This window comes from Homo sapiens, chromosome 22, assembly GCF_000001405.40.
Source record: "Homo sapiens chromosome 22, GRCh38.p14 Primary Assembly".
In the NCBI taxonomy this organism is placed as follows: Eukaryota; Metazoa; Chordata; class Mammalia; order Primates; family Hominidae; genus Homo; species Homo sapiens.
This window is the reverse complement of record NC_000022.11, coordinates 31,064,847-31,082,012: the sequence shown is the minus strand read 5'-3', so window position 1 is coordinate 31,082,012 and position 17,166 is coordinate 31,064,847. Positions and strand designations below refer to the sequence as shown.

The 17,166-nt window shown below is 50.3% G+C and overlaps 1 protein-coding gene across 31 annotated transcripts in view, besides 1 other annotated feature; it reads right to left on the bottom strand.

Moving 5' to 3' along the window:
• Positions 1 to 17,166, bottom strand: part of SMTN (smoothelin) — a 40,507-nt gene that overhangs the window by 22,612 nt on the left and 729 nt on the right. For 22 of the 31 annotated variants that reach the window (NR_168473.1, NR_168475.1, NR_168474.1 and 19 more), the window contains exon 1: positions 557 to 695. The exons of 2 other annotated variants lie outside the window; for them this stretch is intronic. Coding sequence is in view for 1 of the 29 variants with exons in the window: in NM_001382642.1 (NP_001369571.1) it covers positions 1,255 to 1,369 (115 nt within the window). In the remaining 28 variants the exon portion in view is untranslated. Of the gene's footprint in view, positions 1 to 556; positions 696 to 1,254; positions 1,564 to 3,983; positions 4,243 to 17,166 lie in introns of those variants that run through there. 7 more of the 31 variants (NM_001382645.1, NM_001382641.1, NM_001382647.1 and 4 more) reach the window with 4 other exon arrangements.
• Positions 654 to 813: a silencer, noted in NCBI's record as "silent region_13621". NCBI's record gives its function as "represses an Ori minimal core promoter by ATAC-STARR-seq in GM12878 lymphoblastoid cells {active_cell/tissue: GM12878}" and the evidence as "EXISTENCE:reporter gene assay evidence [ECO:0000049][PMID:35858748]".

The window sequence follows — 17,166 nt, the reverse complement described above, 5'->3', positions numbered from 1 at the left end:
CACTGCTTGTTCCCCCTCCCATCCTGGTAGGCTCAGAGGTGTCAACCTCCCAATCTCTGCCTGTTAGGATCCTTGCCTCTTACCTAGTTACTCTGTCTGGGTTAAACCTCTTCAAGACTGTCCAGTGGTCACCAGCCTTAGGTTCTGCGGACATTCTGATTCCCCCCATGTCTGTTCTTCTATGGGGCAGCTGACCCTAATGCCTAATCTAGGACACCCATGGGATTATAAGAAGATCCCTGCCGCTGCTCTTCTCCAATCTCCCTGTCACACAGTCTGGGGTCGCCGGACATTGTGAGGGGCCTCAGGATTCTGTGGCAGCTTCCCCAGGGTTTCTGCCGCCACAGACTAGCGCCCCTGTGGGGCGTGGAGTCTCTTAGGAATCCGGGGGCGTCTTCCCCCAACAGTCTCATAACTTTATCCCATGGCTTAGACCTCTCGTATGGGTGGGGGCTCCCAGGTCTGGACGTTCCAGAACTCCTGTCTAGACATCCGGGTTCCACCCCCGGACACGTTGGGGCAGCACCAGGATCCCCCCCGAGGTCCGCACACCCACCTCTCAGTCCAGCCCACCCGTCCGGCGCAGGCTCGGCTTAGCTCTTTCGGGACCCGACAGACGGATTAGACACGCGCAGGCCGGAGGTGCCGCGACCCGCTGTCCCAGGCCCGCTCAGCAACCGTCCCCTGGATTCTGCGGAGAGCTGCCCGTCCAGCCGCGCCAGCAGCCCGGCTGGCCCCGCCCTGCCCCGACGCGCCAGCCAACCCTCGATTGGGTACCTCCCACTCTCGTGCCCCATTGGGAAAATTCAATTTGACGGCCACGCCCCGAGAGGAAGGCCCCGCCCCTCGCGGGCCAGGGAGGTCGGAAATTGGGAGTCTTGGGGTCGTCTGCCTCGGTGGCTTTAGCGAGTCGGGTGGGCATCGGCAGGGGGACGCAGGCTCTGCGCCAAGTCGGGGGGGGCGCCCCGAGCCGAGGTAAGTTTCCTGGGGTCGTAGGAGTCTCAGAGCCTTCAGGACAGCCCCTCTCCGCCCTCCTCTTTGTTCCTGAGACCACGTCCCCTCCCTCGACTCCACCCCTTTCTCGCGTCAGTGTTTAAGCTTGGCCGCCGTCCCTAGGCTGCTTTCGGGACACCTGGTCTGAGCCACCTCAGAGCAGGGACTGAGTGACTGGCAGCACCTTGACCCTGTGTTGGAGTGCCGGGACCATCTCAGGTGGAGCAGAATCAATCACACAGCACGCCTCCCCCAGCCCACACACCTTTGAACAGACATTGCCTTCTTGTAGCATGCTTCTACCTTCCAAGCCCTGAGAGTCTGCCTTTAGGAGCGCTGGAGTCCTAAATAGGGAATATGGAGTCCAGGCTGTCATTCAGCAAAAGGGGGAAATTGAGGCCCAGAGAGAGCTGACATGTCCAAGACCAAACAAGGAATCAGCCAGGGTACCCAGGAGGTCAGATCCACAAGGCAAAGCTATTCCATCTTCAGTGCCAGAGGCCCTAAAGCCGCCCTTGGGTCTCCATGGAGACTAAAGTGGGTGGAGTTGGGAGGATGGGGTCTGGAGTCCTGTCAAATAAAAACAATAACAAATCATTTATTTTGTACTTGCCATGTACCAGGCATATAATGCCCATAACAAGCACATGAGACCATGACTATTGCCCCATTTTACAGATGAGGACAACAGCTGATAAGTAGTAAAGCTGTGATTCATACCCAGCACCTTCTGAGTCCAGACCCTGCTTTTAACCACTATAATGTGGGATTCTGGGGAGGTGGTTTCAGCCTGTTAACCCAGAAGAGCCCCGGTTCAGGTCCTCTGTGACACCCCCCAGCCCCCATCTAAGGAAAGGCCCAGTCTCCACACTGAGAGTCTTTTCCATGTGTCATTTCATTTCATCCCCACACCCCTGAGAAGTGGTCCCATTTTACACATCAGAAAACCAAGGCACGGGCCAGGTGCGGTGGCTCATGCCTGTAATCCCAGCACTTTGGGATGCCAAGGCAGGTGGATCACCCAAGGTCAGGAGTTCGAGACCAGCCTGGCCAACACGGCAAAAACCCCGTCTCTACTAAAAATACAAAAATTAGTCGGGCAAGTGGCATGCACCTGTAATCCCAGCTACTTGGGAGGCTGAGGCAGTAGAATCACTTGAACCTGGAGGCAGAGGTTGCAGTGAGCCGAGATTGTGCCACTGCACTCCAGCCTAAGCGACAGAGCAAGATTCTGTCTCAAAAAAAGAAAAAAGAAAATCAAGGCACAGAAGAAAGCGACTTGTCAATGCTACACAGCAGGAGAGGCAAACAGAGCTCACTTCGGAGGACATATTTCAAGGTCCTAGGCTTTCTCTACCTGGGCGAGATGCCATGTTATTATCCAGAACGAGGGTCAGGCGCCCTCTAAGACCAATTCTGAATACTTCAAAATTCACGCGTCCCTTGGGACCTCCCCTTCATGCAGGGCACACCTAGGCCACCTCTGATTTTCAGGGCCTGCCTGAATGGCGGTCACCAGCTCCAATGAATGGCCTGCTTTGTGCTAATGCCCTCCTTTCTCCCTGCCCTACTGTAGGCTAGGAGGAATGGTACAGGTGAGTTCCTCCATGCTTGGATTTACTGTCTGGCACATGCGCTCACTAGCCCTTGGCCCTATGGAAGGGATGTGTGGGTCCTGCCCCTTCAAGCCCTTAGTGCCTGGGTCCACCTCCAGACATACCCGCCTGCCTCTGTCTTCCTCTCTGCAAGGGAGTGGGGGTGATCTAGAGATCAAAGGGCAGTCCGGTACAGTGCTAGGGAAGTTTACAGCTACAGCCGAGGAAAGAGTAAACATCCCGTGACGAGGGCCCCAGCATTTGCTGAACACCTGTTGCATGTCAGACGTGGGGCTCCCACTACTGCCAGGTGACCACTGTGCAAGATAGGTACACTCTGATTCGACAGAGGAAGCTGAAGCTCAGGGAGGTGAAGGCACCTTGGCCTAGTAAAGGCATTCAGACTAAAGTGGAATTCTGCCTGATGCTGAAGCCCCTTCCCTCCACTTTGCTGCCACTAGGATGGGGGAAGCTCTGGAAGACTTCTTAGGGAAGTGGTGTATAAACTGTGTGTCACACTTGTTTTTATTTTATTTTATTTTTTTTGGAGACAGGGTCTTGCTGTGTCCCACAGGCTGGAGTGCAGTCGCATGATCACAGCTTACCATGGCCTCAAACTCCTGGCTCAAGCAATCCTTCCATCTCAGCCTCCCAAGAGGCTAGGACTACAGGCACACACCACCACGCCCAGCTAATTTTTAAAATTCATCCCACATAGAAGAGGGGGAAAGGCATGAAAGGGCATTTGTGGCAGAGGAACAGTGTGAGCAAAGACCAATAGTCTGGGAAAAGGAGGAGGATAGGCTGTGGGCGGAGCAGGAAATGTGGGTGGTTCTCTTTGCCAAGGATTCTGAATGCCAGATGAGCAGGATGAATGTATCTTGTGGGCACCAGAGAGGCCTGGGCCTCAGCCTGCCCCCTGTAAAATGAGGTGATTAGACTGGTCTGCTTCAAGCCTTCCTAGGGCAAGGGGCTGTCACAGAAAGGGTCTACTCTAGGTTCTTCCAGGTTCAACCCTGGAAAGGCAGAATGGGAAGTGGCTGGAGCAGCTCAGAGGCTAGGGGTAATATTTTGCTCCAGAGCTCAAGTCTGAGAATGACTATTTTACCAAGCTGTCTGTGTTGCATCCCTAAGTCACCCTGGCTAACCCTCCACCCAGTCAGGGTCCTTCAGAGAAAGCCCAGGCCTTGGGTCAGGAGGCAAGAAGGGTGATGGGTGTCTTACCCCTGGCTCCAACCCTAGGTAAGGGTTGGCCCTCTTGGAGCTTCAACTTGCTCATATGCACAATGGAGGAGCTGTGCCTTGGGCTCTCTAAGCCTCTCTCCCCAGGACAGCACTGTCATTCTGGAGACGGGAACAGCATTAGCAAAGGAACGGAAGTAGGATTGTGACGACCTTGTTGGGCAACAGACAGGCAGGTGAGGCTGGAGAATGGAGCCCCTAGAGGTGGATGGTTCTTGTTGGGGTTGGCTGGATCCAAGGGGTATGACCTTCCTCCTTATGTGCAGAACTGGATGCGTCCTAGGTCATGGCCAGCAGCCCTCGGAGTGGGACTGAGGACCTGCTGGGAAACCAGTTTGGCAAGGCCATCATCTCCAGGATGTCATCCAGCCGCTGTGTTCTCTGGGCAACAGTGCCAGGCAAACTTCTGGCCCTGCAGGAGGAGAAGGGGCCTCAGATGCCCACTGGGCAGCAGTGAATTCCAGGAGACCCAGCCTCACAGACAAAGGAGAGGCAAGGGGCTGGAACAGGAAGGAGAGAGTTCTGGATGTGCCAGCCTGGACCTCTTTAGACTTCTGGGAGTCCCTGATGCCTGGGCGCAGGGAGTGGGGGTCTAGGCTCATGGTGGGACACTATGTAATTGCTACCTGATGGGTTGGACACTGGCTCCTGATCATGCTTATACTACATGTGTGGCAATTTTGTTACCACTATGACCTTCACAGCTTGAGTCCTGTGAGGTAGGACCACCATTATACAGATAAGGAGACAGGCTCAGAACCCTCGTTCTTTTGTTGTTTTTTTTTTTGTTTTGTTTTGTTTTTGAGACAGAGTCTCACTCTGTCGCCCAGGCTGGAGTGGAGTGGCACAACCATGGCTCACTGCAGCCTTGACCTCCCAGGCTCACAGTGGGACTACAGACACGTGCCACCATGCCTGGCTAATTTTTTTATTTTTTGTAGAGACAAGGGTCTCCCTATGTTGCCGGGGCTAGTCTCGAACTCCTGGGTTCAAGAAATCCGCCTGCCTTGACCTTCCAAAGTGCTAGGATTACAGGCGTGAGCCACTGCGCCCGGCCAGAACATTTGTTCTTAATCACCATATTCTACCATCCACCATTTGGAAGCTCCACTTGGATGACGCCTGAGCACTGGGGAGACCTGGGCCTCAGTCTGCCCATCTGTAAAATGAGGGGGTTTGACTCGCCTCCTTCAGGCCCTCCTAGGGCAAAAAACTGTAACAAGAAGGGTCTAGATTCTTCCAGGTTCAGCTCTGGACTGGCAGAGTAGGGAGTATCTGGAGCAGCTCAGGGGCTGAGGGTATTTTGGCTCCAGAGTCCAGTCCGAGAATGAATATTTTACCAACCTGTCAGTGTGGGATCCCAGCAAACCCTTCTCTCTACTTCTGAACATAGCACCTGAATCTTGGCATCACAGAGTCCTAGATACCCACCTTATGGTTCAAATAGGTAACTGAGTCCCAGAGAGGACAAGGGACAGGCTTCAGGTAGTGTAGCAAATCAGGAGCAGAGCCATTCTGCATCCCAGATTCTCAACCTCTCAAAACTTTGTTTCCTCCTCAGGGCCTGGCACACTTAAGCATGAAATAACTGACACATATTGAGTGCCTATGGCATACCATGCACTCATGTAACCATCACCACAGCCCTATAAAGCAGATGCTAATGTTCTGTCCCTTTTATGGGCAAAGAAACTGAGGCTCAGAGAGGGGAAGTCATTTGTCCAAGTTGACACTGCATGTTGGTGGTAGCGAAGGGATTTGAACCCAGGTATATAGGCCCTTCCCCCTCAGCAGATCCAGTAAGCCTCACTGGAGGCATGAAGACCTGTAGACAGCGGGGTGGATGGCTCCTTTGCCGGTTCTGAAGGCACGCAGTGTCCAATTCAGAGTTTCCACGCAGGCCTGGCCTCTCTGGGGCAGGGAGAAAAGTGCTGAGGCTGCAGAAGGGCTCTGCATCTTCCCAGAGGAGGCGGCCACGGTGGGAGGGAGTGCTCTGCAACAACCTCAGAGCCAAGTGTAGACGTGGCGGCTGGACCAGCTGCAAGCAAGGGAAGGCAGGCAGGGTGGGGCCCAAACCCAAACCCAGCCTCCAAGCCGTGTTCCCAGCCTTCCGCCAGCCAGGCCCTGCCCTACCCGCCCTTCTCGATCCCCATCTGGATTTGAGATGAGGACGCCGGGCCTAATAATAGCCAAATGGCACGGAGGCAGTGCCTGGAGCCACTGCCAGTTGGGGCCTGGGGTCCCCCATGGTCTCATATTGGCCTCCAACAGGGTTCAGAACTTTAAAAGTACTGCATTCCAGCCTGGGCGACAGAGCGAGGCCTTGTCTCAAAAACAAAAACAAAAACAAAACAAAACAAAACAAAAACCCTTTAAAATAGCAACTGCTTATGAAGTTTATAATATGTGCTGGGCACTGGGCTAAAGCTTAGCCCACAGTAACTTACTTATTCCTCACCCTACCCCCACTGGCTAAGACTATTCCTTTTTTTTTTTTTTTTTAAGACAGAGTCTCGCTCTGTCACCCAGACTAGAGTGCAGTGGCGCAATCTTGGCTCACTGCAACCCCTGCCTCCCGGCTTCAAGTGATTCTCCTGCCTCAGCCTCCCAAGTAGCTGGGATTACAAGGGCCCGTCACCACGCCTGGCTAATTTTTGTATTTTCAGTAGAGACGGGGTTTTGACATGTTGGCCAGGCTGGTCTTGAACTCCTGAACTGAGGTGATCCACCTGCCTCGGACTCCCAAAATGCTGGGATTACACCGCGCCTGGCCGGGCTAAGACTATTCTTAGCCCTTTTGATGGATGGAACACTGCCCCTGATGATAACAGGAACTTGGCAGCCTTCAATTGCTGAGCATGCACACTGTCCCTCCTTGGCACTCTGCTAAGCACTTTCTTTGTATTTTCCCATTGATTCCCCATGGCATTATGAGACAGATGCTAATTTCTTTAGACGAAGAAAAAAAATGAGGCCCAGAGAGAAAAGTGACTTGCCCAAGGTCACACAGCTATAATGGACAGAGTCGAGACTCAAACCTAGGACTTTCTAACTGTAGAGAGGCTAAGACCTTAGCTTCTGGAAACAGACAAACTTGAGTACGGTGGGGACATCACTGCTCCCTAGCTATGCAGCCTTGGCAAGTCACATCACCTGCCTGAGGCTCTTGTTTTCTCCTCTGTAAATTGGGGGTTTGGTTGAGATAATACTAACACTCCCTGACAGCTATTAAGCCCACCTTGGGTGTAATAAAATAGGTAATTTACAGCACACGTTTCCACGGTGCATTCCCTCAGTCAATTCTCACAATAGCCCCCAACGTTAGGACTCCTCTCTTCCAGCACCTGTGTTTTGTTGTTGTTGTTGTTGTTGTTTTTGTTGTTTTTTGAGACAGTTTCACTCTTGTCACCCAGGCTGGAGTGCAATGGCACAATCTCAGCTCACTGCAACCTCCGCTTCCTGGGTTCAAGCGATTCTCTTGCCTCAGCCTCCCGAGTAGTGAGTAGCTAGGATTACTGGTGTGCACCACCACGCCTGGCTAAGTTATATATTTTTAGTAGAGACAGGATTTCACCATGTTGTCCAGGCTAGTCTTGAACTCCTGACCTCAGGTGATCCGCCCTTCTTGGCCTCCCAAAGTGCTGGGATTACAGGTGTGAGCCACCATGCCCAGCCCCAGCACCTGTTTTATAGAAGGGAAATGTCAGTCTCAGGGAGGGGAAGGCATTTGCCCAAAATCAATAGCAAGTGAGTCAGGACTTAAGCCCAGGGCTGTGATTCTAGAGGCTGAGCTCTTTTTTATTTTTTAAGACAGGATCTCTGTCACCCAAGCTGGAGTGCAGTGGTGCGATCATGGCACACTACAGCCTTGACCTGTCTGGGCTCAGGTGATCCTCTCACCTCAGCCTCCCGAGTAGCTGGGACTACAGGCACTCACCACCACACCTGACTAATTTTTATAGAGATGGAGTTTCCCCATGTTGTCCAGGCTGGTCTCAAACTCCTGGTTTCAAGTAATCCGTCCACCTCAGCCTCCCAAAGTGCTGGAATTACACAGGTGTGAGCCACCATGCCCAGGCAGGCATGTGACTATTTTTGGCCAATAGAATATACGGAAGTGGCATTGCCAGTTCGAAGCCTGGGTGTTAAGAGATTGGGCCTTAAGAGATTCCACTTATTCTCTTGGAACTCTCGCAGCTGTTATGTGAACAAGCCTGGGCTATCCTGCCTAAGAGACCACTGGAACAGGGACTAGTTATCCTAGCTGAAGCTGTCCTAGTCAGTCACCAGCTAATCCAATAGCTGACCACAGATACATGAGTAAGCCCAACTGAGACCAGAAAAATCTTTAGCTGAGCCCAGGCTAAAGTGCCAATCCATGAAATCTTGAGCTAAAAAAACGGTTGCTGTTTTAAGGCACTAAGTTTTGGGGTGGTTTGTTATGTAGCATTGTTGTGGCAATTGATAACTGATACACTGTTTTATTCAGTGTAATTAATGCTGACTGCTGTAACAAACCAAATATCTCAGTGGTTTAACCCAATCAGAGTTTATTTCTCACCCCTGCAAAGTCTGATACAGGTTGGGGCTCTCCCAGGGAGCTCTTTTCCAAGCAGTGACCTTGCCCCCGAATCCTGCCTCCACCCCAGGCTTTCCCTGGAATCTATTCCTGAATCCTCTGCATGTGGAAAGGGAATCAGAAAATCAAAGGAGGCACATCCACACTTAACTGCCTTTGCGCAGGGGTCACGTATAATTTCACTGGCCTTTATGTAGTCACGTGACTCTACTAACTGCAGGAAAAATGAGAACATGACCTTCCTGTGTGTCCAGGAAAAGGAAACAGGTTACAGAACACAAAGCATTGCTTCCGTTACATTCCTCCTGTTGTGGGGCTGGCGTGCATGCGTGCATGCGTGCGTGCGTGTGTATGTGTGTCTGTGTCTGTATGTGTGGTGGGAGTTGGAGGGGCATGTGTGTTAAGCAGAGAATTAACATCTATAAAGAATCAACAGTGGTGCATGCCTGTAATCCCACTACTCTGGGAAGCTGAGGCAGGAGGATCGCTTGAGCTCAGGAGGTTGAGGCTACACTGAACCGAGATCATGCCATTGCACTCTAGCCTGGGTGACAGAGCAAGACCCTGTCTCAAAAAAAAAAAAAAAAAAAAAGAGAGAGAGAGAGAATCAACTTCAGCACCTACCATGTGTTAGCTTAAATAAGGGACAAGTTATAGGTAAAGAATTTGAGGCTCAGCTTAACTGGTCCTGGTGCCGCACGCCTGTAGTCCCGGCTACTTGGGAGGCTGAAGTGGGAGGATCACTTGAGCCTAGGAGGTTGAGGCTGCAGTAAGCAGAGATTGCCCACTGCATTCCAGCCTGGGTGACAGAGTAAGACCTTGTCTTAAAAAAAAGAAAAAGAGGCTGGGCACAGTGGCTCATGCCTGTAATCCCAGCACTCTGGGGGGCTGAGGCGGGCAGATCACCAGAGGTCAGGAGTTCGAGACTAGCCTGGCCAAGATGGTGAAACCCTGTCTGTACTAAAAATACAAAAATTAGCCAGGCGTGGTGGCGGGCACCTGTAATCCCAGCTACTTGGGAGGCTGAGGCAGGAAAATGGTTTGAACCCGGAAGGCGGACGTTGCAGTGAACTGAGATCGTGCATTGCCCTCCAGCCTGGGTGACAAGAGGGAAATTCCATCTCAAAAAAAGAAAAAGAAAAAAAGAATCTGAGACTCAGAAAGGTTGAGGAACTTGCCCCAAATCATACAGCAAGCCAGTTGAGTAGCTATTTTGCAGTAGTGAAGGGCTCAGGGAGATCTGGAGTTGGACAGATCTAGGTGCGAATCCCAACTCTGTCAATTCTTTACTGTGTGACATTTGGCAAGTTACTTAATTTCTCTAGGCCTCAGTTTCCTCATCCACAAAATGGGGAGCTAATACTTCCAACCTTATAAGGTTGGGAGTGATCATTCACGGAGCTTGCATGGGATGGGGATCCTGGTACATGGGACTTACATAATGAATGTCAGCCACATAGGCAGAAATGATGCTATCTCTGATCTTACCCTGCCAGGGTCCATGAATTTGGCCAAGGGGATTTATTATGTTTTGGACAAATCCTATCCCTTCCCTCTATCTCTTGTGGTGTAAATGGTTTTATTTACTTCATTAAGAGATGGCAATATGGCTAAGTGTGGTGGCTTATGCCTGTAATCCCAGCACTTTGGGGGGCTGAGGTGGGAGGATCGCTTGAGTCCAGGAGTTCGAGACCAGCCTGGGCAACATGGCAAAACCCCATCTCTACAAAAAATACAAAAATGAGCTGGGTGTGGTGGCATGCACCTATAGTCCCAGCCACTTGGGAGGCTGAGGTGGGAGAATCCCTTGAGCCTGGAAGGTGGAGGTTGCAGTGAGCCGAGATCATGCCACTGCACTCCAGATTGGGTATCAGAGTGAAACTCTGCCTCCAAAAAAAAAAAAAAAAGAGAGAGAGAGAGAGAAAGAGAGAGCTAGAACTATTTCCCCAGTTGAATTTTTTTTAATTAATTAAGTTTTTAATTTTTTGAGACAGGGTCTCACTCTGTCTCTCAGGCTGGAGTGCAATGGCGTGATCGCAGCTCACTGCAGCCTCGACCTCCTGGGCTCAAGCGATCCTCCCACCTCAGCCGGTGCATGCCACTATGCCCAACTAATTTTATGTATTTTATTTTTTGTAGAGATCAGGTCTCACTTTGTTGCCCAGCTGGTCTCAAACTCCTGGGCTCAAGCAATCCTCCTGCCTCAGCCTCCCGAAGTGCTAGGATTACAGGTGTGAGCCATGATGCCCGCTCCAGCTGAATATTTGTTACTGAACAAACCTTCATAAGCACAAAGCCCCTGAACACCTATGGCTGCTGACACATGCCTGAAATGCCTCCATTATTGCTTTTTTTTTTTTTTTTGAGACAGGGTGTAGCTCTGTTGCACAGGTAGGAGTGCAGTGGCGCAATCATGGCTCACTGAAGCCTTGAACTCCTGGGCGCAAGCAATCCTCCTGCCTCAGCCACCAAAGTAGCTGGGACTACAGGCACACACCACCATGTCTGGCTAATTTTCTTATTTTTTGTACAGATGGGATCTTGCTGTGTTGCCCAGACTGGTCTGGAATTCCTGGCCTCAGCAATACTCCTGCCTTGCCTCCCAAAGTATTGGGATTACAGGAGTGAGCCACTGCACTCAGGCTTAAATCGTTTTCTTTTCTTTTTTTTTTTTTTTTTTGAGACAGAGTTTCACTCTGTCACCCAGGCTGGAGTGCAATGGCGTGATCTCAGCTCACTGCAACCTCTGCTTCCCGGGTTCAAGCAATCCTCCTGCCTCAGCCTCCCAAGTAGCTGGGATTACAGGCTCCTGCCACCACACCCGGTTAATTTTTGTATTTTTAGTAGAGACGGGGTTTCAAGATGTTGGCCAGGCTGGTCTTGAACCCCTGACCTCAAGTGATCCACCCACCTGGGCCTCCCAAAGTGCTGGGATTACAGGCATGAGCCATCGTGCCCGGCTGGCTTAAATAATTTTTAAAGTTTTGTTTTGAACAGGTAGTTCTGGGAGGTCAGAGGAGTTATCTCTCAGGAGATAATTATGCTCAAGTCTGGAAGATAAGAAATTGTTGAACAAAAAACTAAGTTGGTCTCGACGTGGGGGTGGGGGTGTTCCAGGCAAGGGGAACAGACTACGCAAATGTCCCGAGGCAGGAACAATCTCCAGAAACTGATGGAAGACCAACGTGAGTGAAGTATGAAGGGTAAGGGAGAAGTGGGGTTTGGATGGGGAGAGGGGAAAGGCCCAGACTGAAAGGCCCCTGTGGGAACCTTCACAATTTGCAGGGCCTGGTGCAAAATGAGAAAACGGAGCTCCTTGTTCAAAAATTCTGAAGTATTTCAAGATAGTGACAGCAGAGCATTACACCGACCCTTCATTACGTGAAGCTGGCCCTGCCCATGGCCCATAGTAAGAGGAAAGGACTTTCATGTGAGGGCTGCAGGGAGCCATGGAAGGTTTTTGAGCTAGAGGTGATCAGATCTGATTTGCATACGCTTCAGTTGCTGTCCTCACTACCCCACACCTGGATGATGTGTGTCTCTGCACAGGTGGCCTGCTTCACTTTCCTCTTCAACATGTCACTCCCCTGCTCAAGAACCTGGGGTGGTTCCTACTTCCTATTAGACCCAGCCCAGATTCCCTATCCAGACACCCAGAGGCCCTTCAAAATCTTCCCTTACTGGATTTAGTTAATCTAATGTCAACAAAGGCTGTGTGCTGAATCCCAGAGAGATGATGAATCAACCCAAGTTCACACAGCAATTATAGGAGAGCAAGTCAGGGCTGGAACCCAGGTTTCCTGAGGTCGGCCCACCCAGCCCTGAGCGAGGGTGCAGTCCTATGAAGTGTTTTGTGTCCCCCATCCTAGCACAGAGCCATGCACACAGTTAGGTGCTCAATCTGTGCCTGTGGCCGTGAGTTCGTTCCTCTTAGGGCACATCTCTGCCAGGGCATGGGTGTCCCAGAATCCAGGATGCAGTTAGCATCCTTCCTGACTCCTTCTCTCCCTCGTCCCTACCTCTAGGCGTTCACCAAGCCCCACCGCACCCAGGCCAGCTGGCCAGGTCTTGCCCATAGACTTGTTGTTTGGCCTGTGCAGTGTTTTAAAGCTTTTCGAATTCATCGTTCTAACATTTTAAAAAATCTGGAAACTTCACATGGCAATCCCCATCTTGTGTCTCTTTGCAAAGTCTCAAGCCTGGGTCTGGGTTCCTTTGGGGAGGCAGTTCTCTCCAACCTCTGAGCTTGGGGTGGGTGAGGTGGGGAACGGTCGCTCTAGTCCCCAGCGGGGCGCCTGAATTTGGGACTTTGAAGCGAGAGTGGCCTAATTACCACCAAGGACCAATAAGGATCCTGGAAGAGAGCGCCCTAGTTACCACCAAGGACCAATAAGGATCCTGGAAGTTGATTCAATCAGACGTATAATAACCCCTCCTTCTGGAGCGGGGCCAGGTGGGGGCAAACCCCGCCTCCGGTCTTCTAACAACAGGGAGTAGGAGGGGTGTTTTGCCCTAAACCTTACAACTAGCCCCAACCTGATGTTTGACTTCTGAATCGCTTAGGGCTTCATAGATAAGATGAATGCCCCTGAGAGAGGCCATGCTGCTTTCTCTCCCCTGGCCTCTGCCTTTGCTTTCTTCTCCCCTGGGACTGTGCTCTTCAACCACATCTTCACTCTGGCTGGCTCCAGATTACCATTCAGATCTTAACTCACACATCACCTCCTTAGAAAGGTCTTCCCAGAGCACGTATCTGAAGCTCCCCAAAATTACTCTGTACTGTAATTACTCCCCATCACAGCACTGACGATCGGAAATGATTAATTTTTTTGTTGTTTGTCTCCTGCTAGACTGTGAGCTCTGAGAAGCCAGGGACTTGGGTTTGTCTCGCTCAACACGGTCCCCAGGACCTAGAAAGGATCTGGCGTCAACGAAGGGGCTCAACACACGTGTGGAACAAATGAACCACTGGATTCACAAAACACCTTTCCCTGAAGGATGCATGTGACCCCTTGGTCAGCCAGCCAGCATGGGTGGGAGCCAGTAAGGAGGCAGCCAATTTGCAATTAGGGAGCAATTAATAACTACCTAATTGGTACAAAAGACAGCTGAGGGGCTGGGAGGAGAACAAGGGAATGAAGCTCAGAAAGGAGCCTCAGGTCTTTCTTGGAAAATACTGGGAGCAGGCAATGAGGAATCCCCGGGGTAACATTTGAAAACCTCTTCTGTTATTGGAGATTCAAATGATCAGAAGCTCCCCTAAAAGGACTTGGTCCCTTTAAAACATTTTTTTTTTTTTGAGATGGAGTTTCACTCTTGTCACCCAGGCTAGAGTGCAATGGCGCGGTCTTGGCTGACTGCAATCTCCGCCTCCCAGGTTCAAGTGATTCTCCTTCCTCAGCCTCCCGAGTAGCTGGGATTACAGGTGTCCACCACCACGCCCGGCTAAATTTTGGATTTTTAGTAGAGATGGGGTTTCACCATATTGGCCCGTTGGTCTCAAACTCCTGACTTCAGGTGATCCACCCGCCTCGGCCTCCCAAACTGCTGGGATTACAAATGTGAGCCACTGTGCCCAGCCAAAACATTTTTTAATGGTTTGTAGAGATGAGATTTCGCTATGCCCAGGCTGGTCTTGAACTCTTGGACTCAAGGGATCTGCCCACCTTGGCCTCCCAAAGTGCTGGGATTATAGGCATGAGCCACCGAGCCCAGCCAGGACTTGGTCCTTTAAGAAGCAGGTGTGGGCCAGGCGCGGTGGCTCATGACTGTAATCCCAGCACTTCAGGAGGCTGAGGCAGGCGGATCACAAGGTCAGGAGATCGAGACCATCCCGGCTAACATGGTGAAACCCTGTCTCTACTAAAAATACAAAAAAAAAATTAACTGGGCATGGTGGCAGGCGCCTGTAGTCCCAGCTACTCAGGAGGCTGAGGCAGGAGAATGGCGTGAACCCGGGAGGCAGAGCTTGCAGTGAGCCAAGATCGTGCCACTGCACTCCAGCCTGGGCAACAGAGGGGGACTCGTCTCAAAAAAAAAAAAAAAAAAAAGAAGAAGAAGCAGGTGCGCCGGGCGTGGTGGCTTATGCCTGTAATCCCAGCACTTTGGGAGGCCTAAGGGGGAGGATCACGAGGTCAAGAGATCAAGATCATCCTGGCCAACATGGTGAAACCCCATCTCTACTAAAAATACAAAAGTTAGCTGGGTGTGGTGGCACGCACCTGTAGTCCCAGCTACTCAGGAGGCTGAGGCAGGAGAATTGCTTGAACCTGGGAGGCGGAGATTGCAGCGAGCCAAGATCATGCCACTGCACTCCAGCCTGGCGACAGAGCAAGACTCCGTGTCAAAAAAAAAAAAAACCTTTCTGGTCATGGTGGTGTGTGCCTGTAGTCCCAGCTACTCAAGAGGCTGAAGTAGGAAGATTGTTTTAGCCCAGGAGTTTAAGCTTGCAGTGAGTCATGATCACACCACTGCACTCCAGCCTGGGCAACAGAGACAGACTCTGTCTCTAAATAAATAAGTAAATCCTGCCTTAGATTAAAATTGCAGGCCAGGTGTGGTGGCTCACACCTGTAATCCCAGCTCTTTGGCAGGACGAGGTGGGTGGATTGCTTGAGCTTAGGAGTTCGAGAGCGGCCTCGGCAACATGGCAAAACTCTGTCTTTACAAAAAAATACAAAAGTTAGCCAGGCATGGTGGCGTACACCTGCAGTCCCAGCTACTCAGGAAACTGAGTTGGGAGGATCACTTGAGCCTAAAAGGTTGAGGCTGCAGTGAGCTGTGATTGTGCCACTGCACTCCAGCCTGGGCAACAGAGTGAGACCCTGTCTCAAAAAATAAAATAAAATAAAACAAAATAAAAAAAATTACTGTTGGATTAATTAGGAGGTTTGATATGGAGTAAGTCATCCTTTCATGTTTTGAAGTAACTTTAAAGTGTGTCCACTCAGTAAGACACAAGTATCCATTTGGGCTTCTTCAATATTCTATGGGGTTTGGCTGGGCACGGTGGCTCACGCCTGTAATCCCAGCACTTTGGGAGGCCAAGGAGGGCGGATCACTTGAAGCCAGGAGTTCGACACCAGCATGGTAACACAGTGAAACCCCATCTCTACTAAAGATACAAAAATTAGCCAGGCGTGGTGGTGCATCACTGTAGTCCCAGCTACTTGGGAGGCTGAGGCACAAGAATTGCTTGAATCTGGGAGGTAGAGGTTGCGTGAGCCAAGATCGTGCAACTGTACTCCAGCCTGGGCGACAGAGCGAGACTCTGTCTCAAAAATAAAATAAAATAAAATAAAATATTCTATGGGGTTCAAGAGTTTCCTTTTTAGGGCCAAAGCATTATTATTGGAGGAAGGCAATCCCTACTTCTCCCACTTATTTCTGCCATAGGAGGAAGGTTCTCCTGCCCAACACCCACAGGCCCAGGCACCTGGAGGCAACTCTAAAAACAGCAGGAGACTACTGAAGGAAATTGTCCATCTCTATGAGGCGCTCCTTGTGTCTCCAAAATTTATTAAATGACATCACAGTAAGGCTTGGCAAGTAGGATAAGGGAGTTAGACCAGGGAGGACAGACAGAAGTCTGCAGGCCTGAACACAGGCAGGAAGGAAAAGGGAAATGCAAACAGGAGAGGAGAGGCCAGAGCTGAGCACTGCAGAAGGAGAATGAACAACCCTAGTTTGTATTACAGAACACGTTCACAAGTACGGTCTGCCTTTATCCTCAGCAGTTCTTACTGGTAAGATATAATGATATCCATTTTATAGATAAGGATCCTAAAGCCCAGCAAGGTCATGGATCTACACATAACTGAGCCACACATCTTAGATCAGTGCTTTTTCTGCTTGGCACACCCCACAGGGACTGGCACATAATGGGTAAAGAGTTGACATTTACTGAAGAAAAGTAGACGGCATGCATTTGACAGCACTTAAAAAAAAAAATGTAGGCCAGGCGCGGTGGCTCACGTCTGTAATCCCAACACTTTGGGAGGCCGAGGTGGGCGAATCACCTGAGGTCAGGAGTTTGAGACCAGCCTGGCCAACATGGTGAAACCACGTCTCTACTAAAAAATACAAAAATTAGCCAGGCATGGTGGTGGGCCCCTGTAATCCCAGCTACTCGGAAGGCTGAGGCAGGAGAATCGCTTGAACCCAAGAGGCAGAGGTTGCAGTGAGCCGAAATGGCACCACTGCACTCCACCCTGGGTGACAGAAGGAGATTTCATTTCAAAAAAACAAACAAACATACCGTAAATGTCAAGAAATTTACATTTTTGCATGGTCTTATTATCTCCCCACAAGATAATTACTAATTACAAAAGGACACTTATTATAAAATTATAAAAGAGAAACCCAGCAGATAACCTCTTTAACCACATGATCAGTGTTAACATGCCCAGTAATAAGTCATATCAACAGAAAGTAGCCCCTGATCTGATGCACTAAGAAGGGCATAACGTTACTTCTGTGATATTCTTGCCAAAAGTGCATAAGCTCAATCTAATCACCAAAAAAAAAATCAGACATTCAAATTGAGGGATATTCTATAAAATGACTGAACAGTACGTGTCAGGGTCATTTGAGAAAAAAAGCGAGAGGCTGAGGAGCTGTCATAGATTAGAGAAGACTAAGAAGACATTACAACTAAATGCAATGTTGGACCTTGGATTAGATCAAAAGGAAAACAGCTAAAATTCAAATAAGGTATGTAGGTTACTGTACCAGTGTTAATTTCCTGGTTCTGATAAT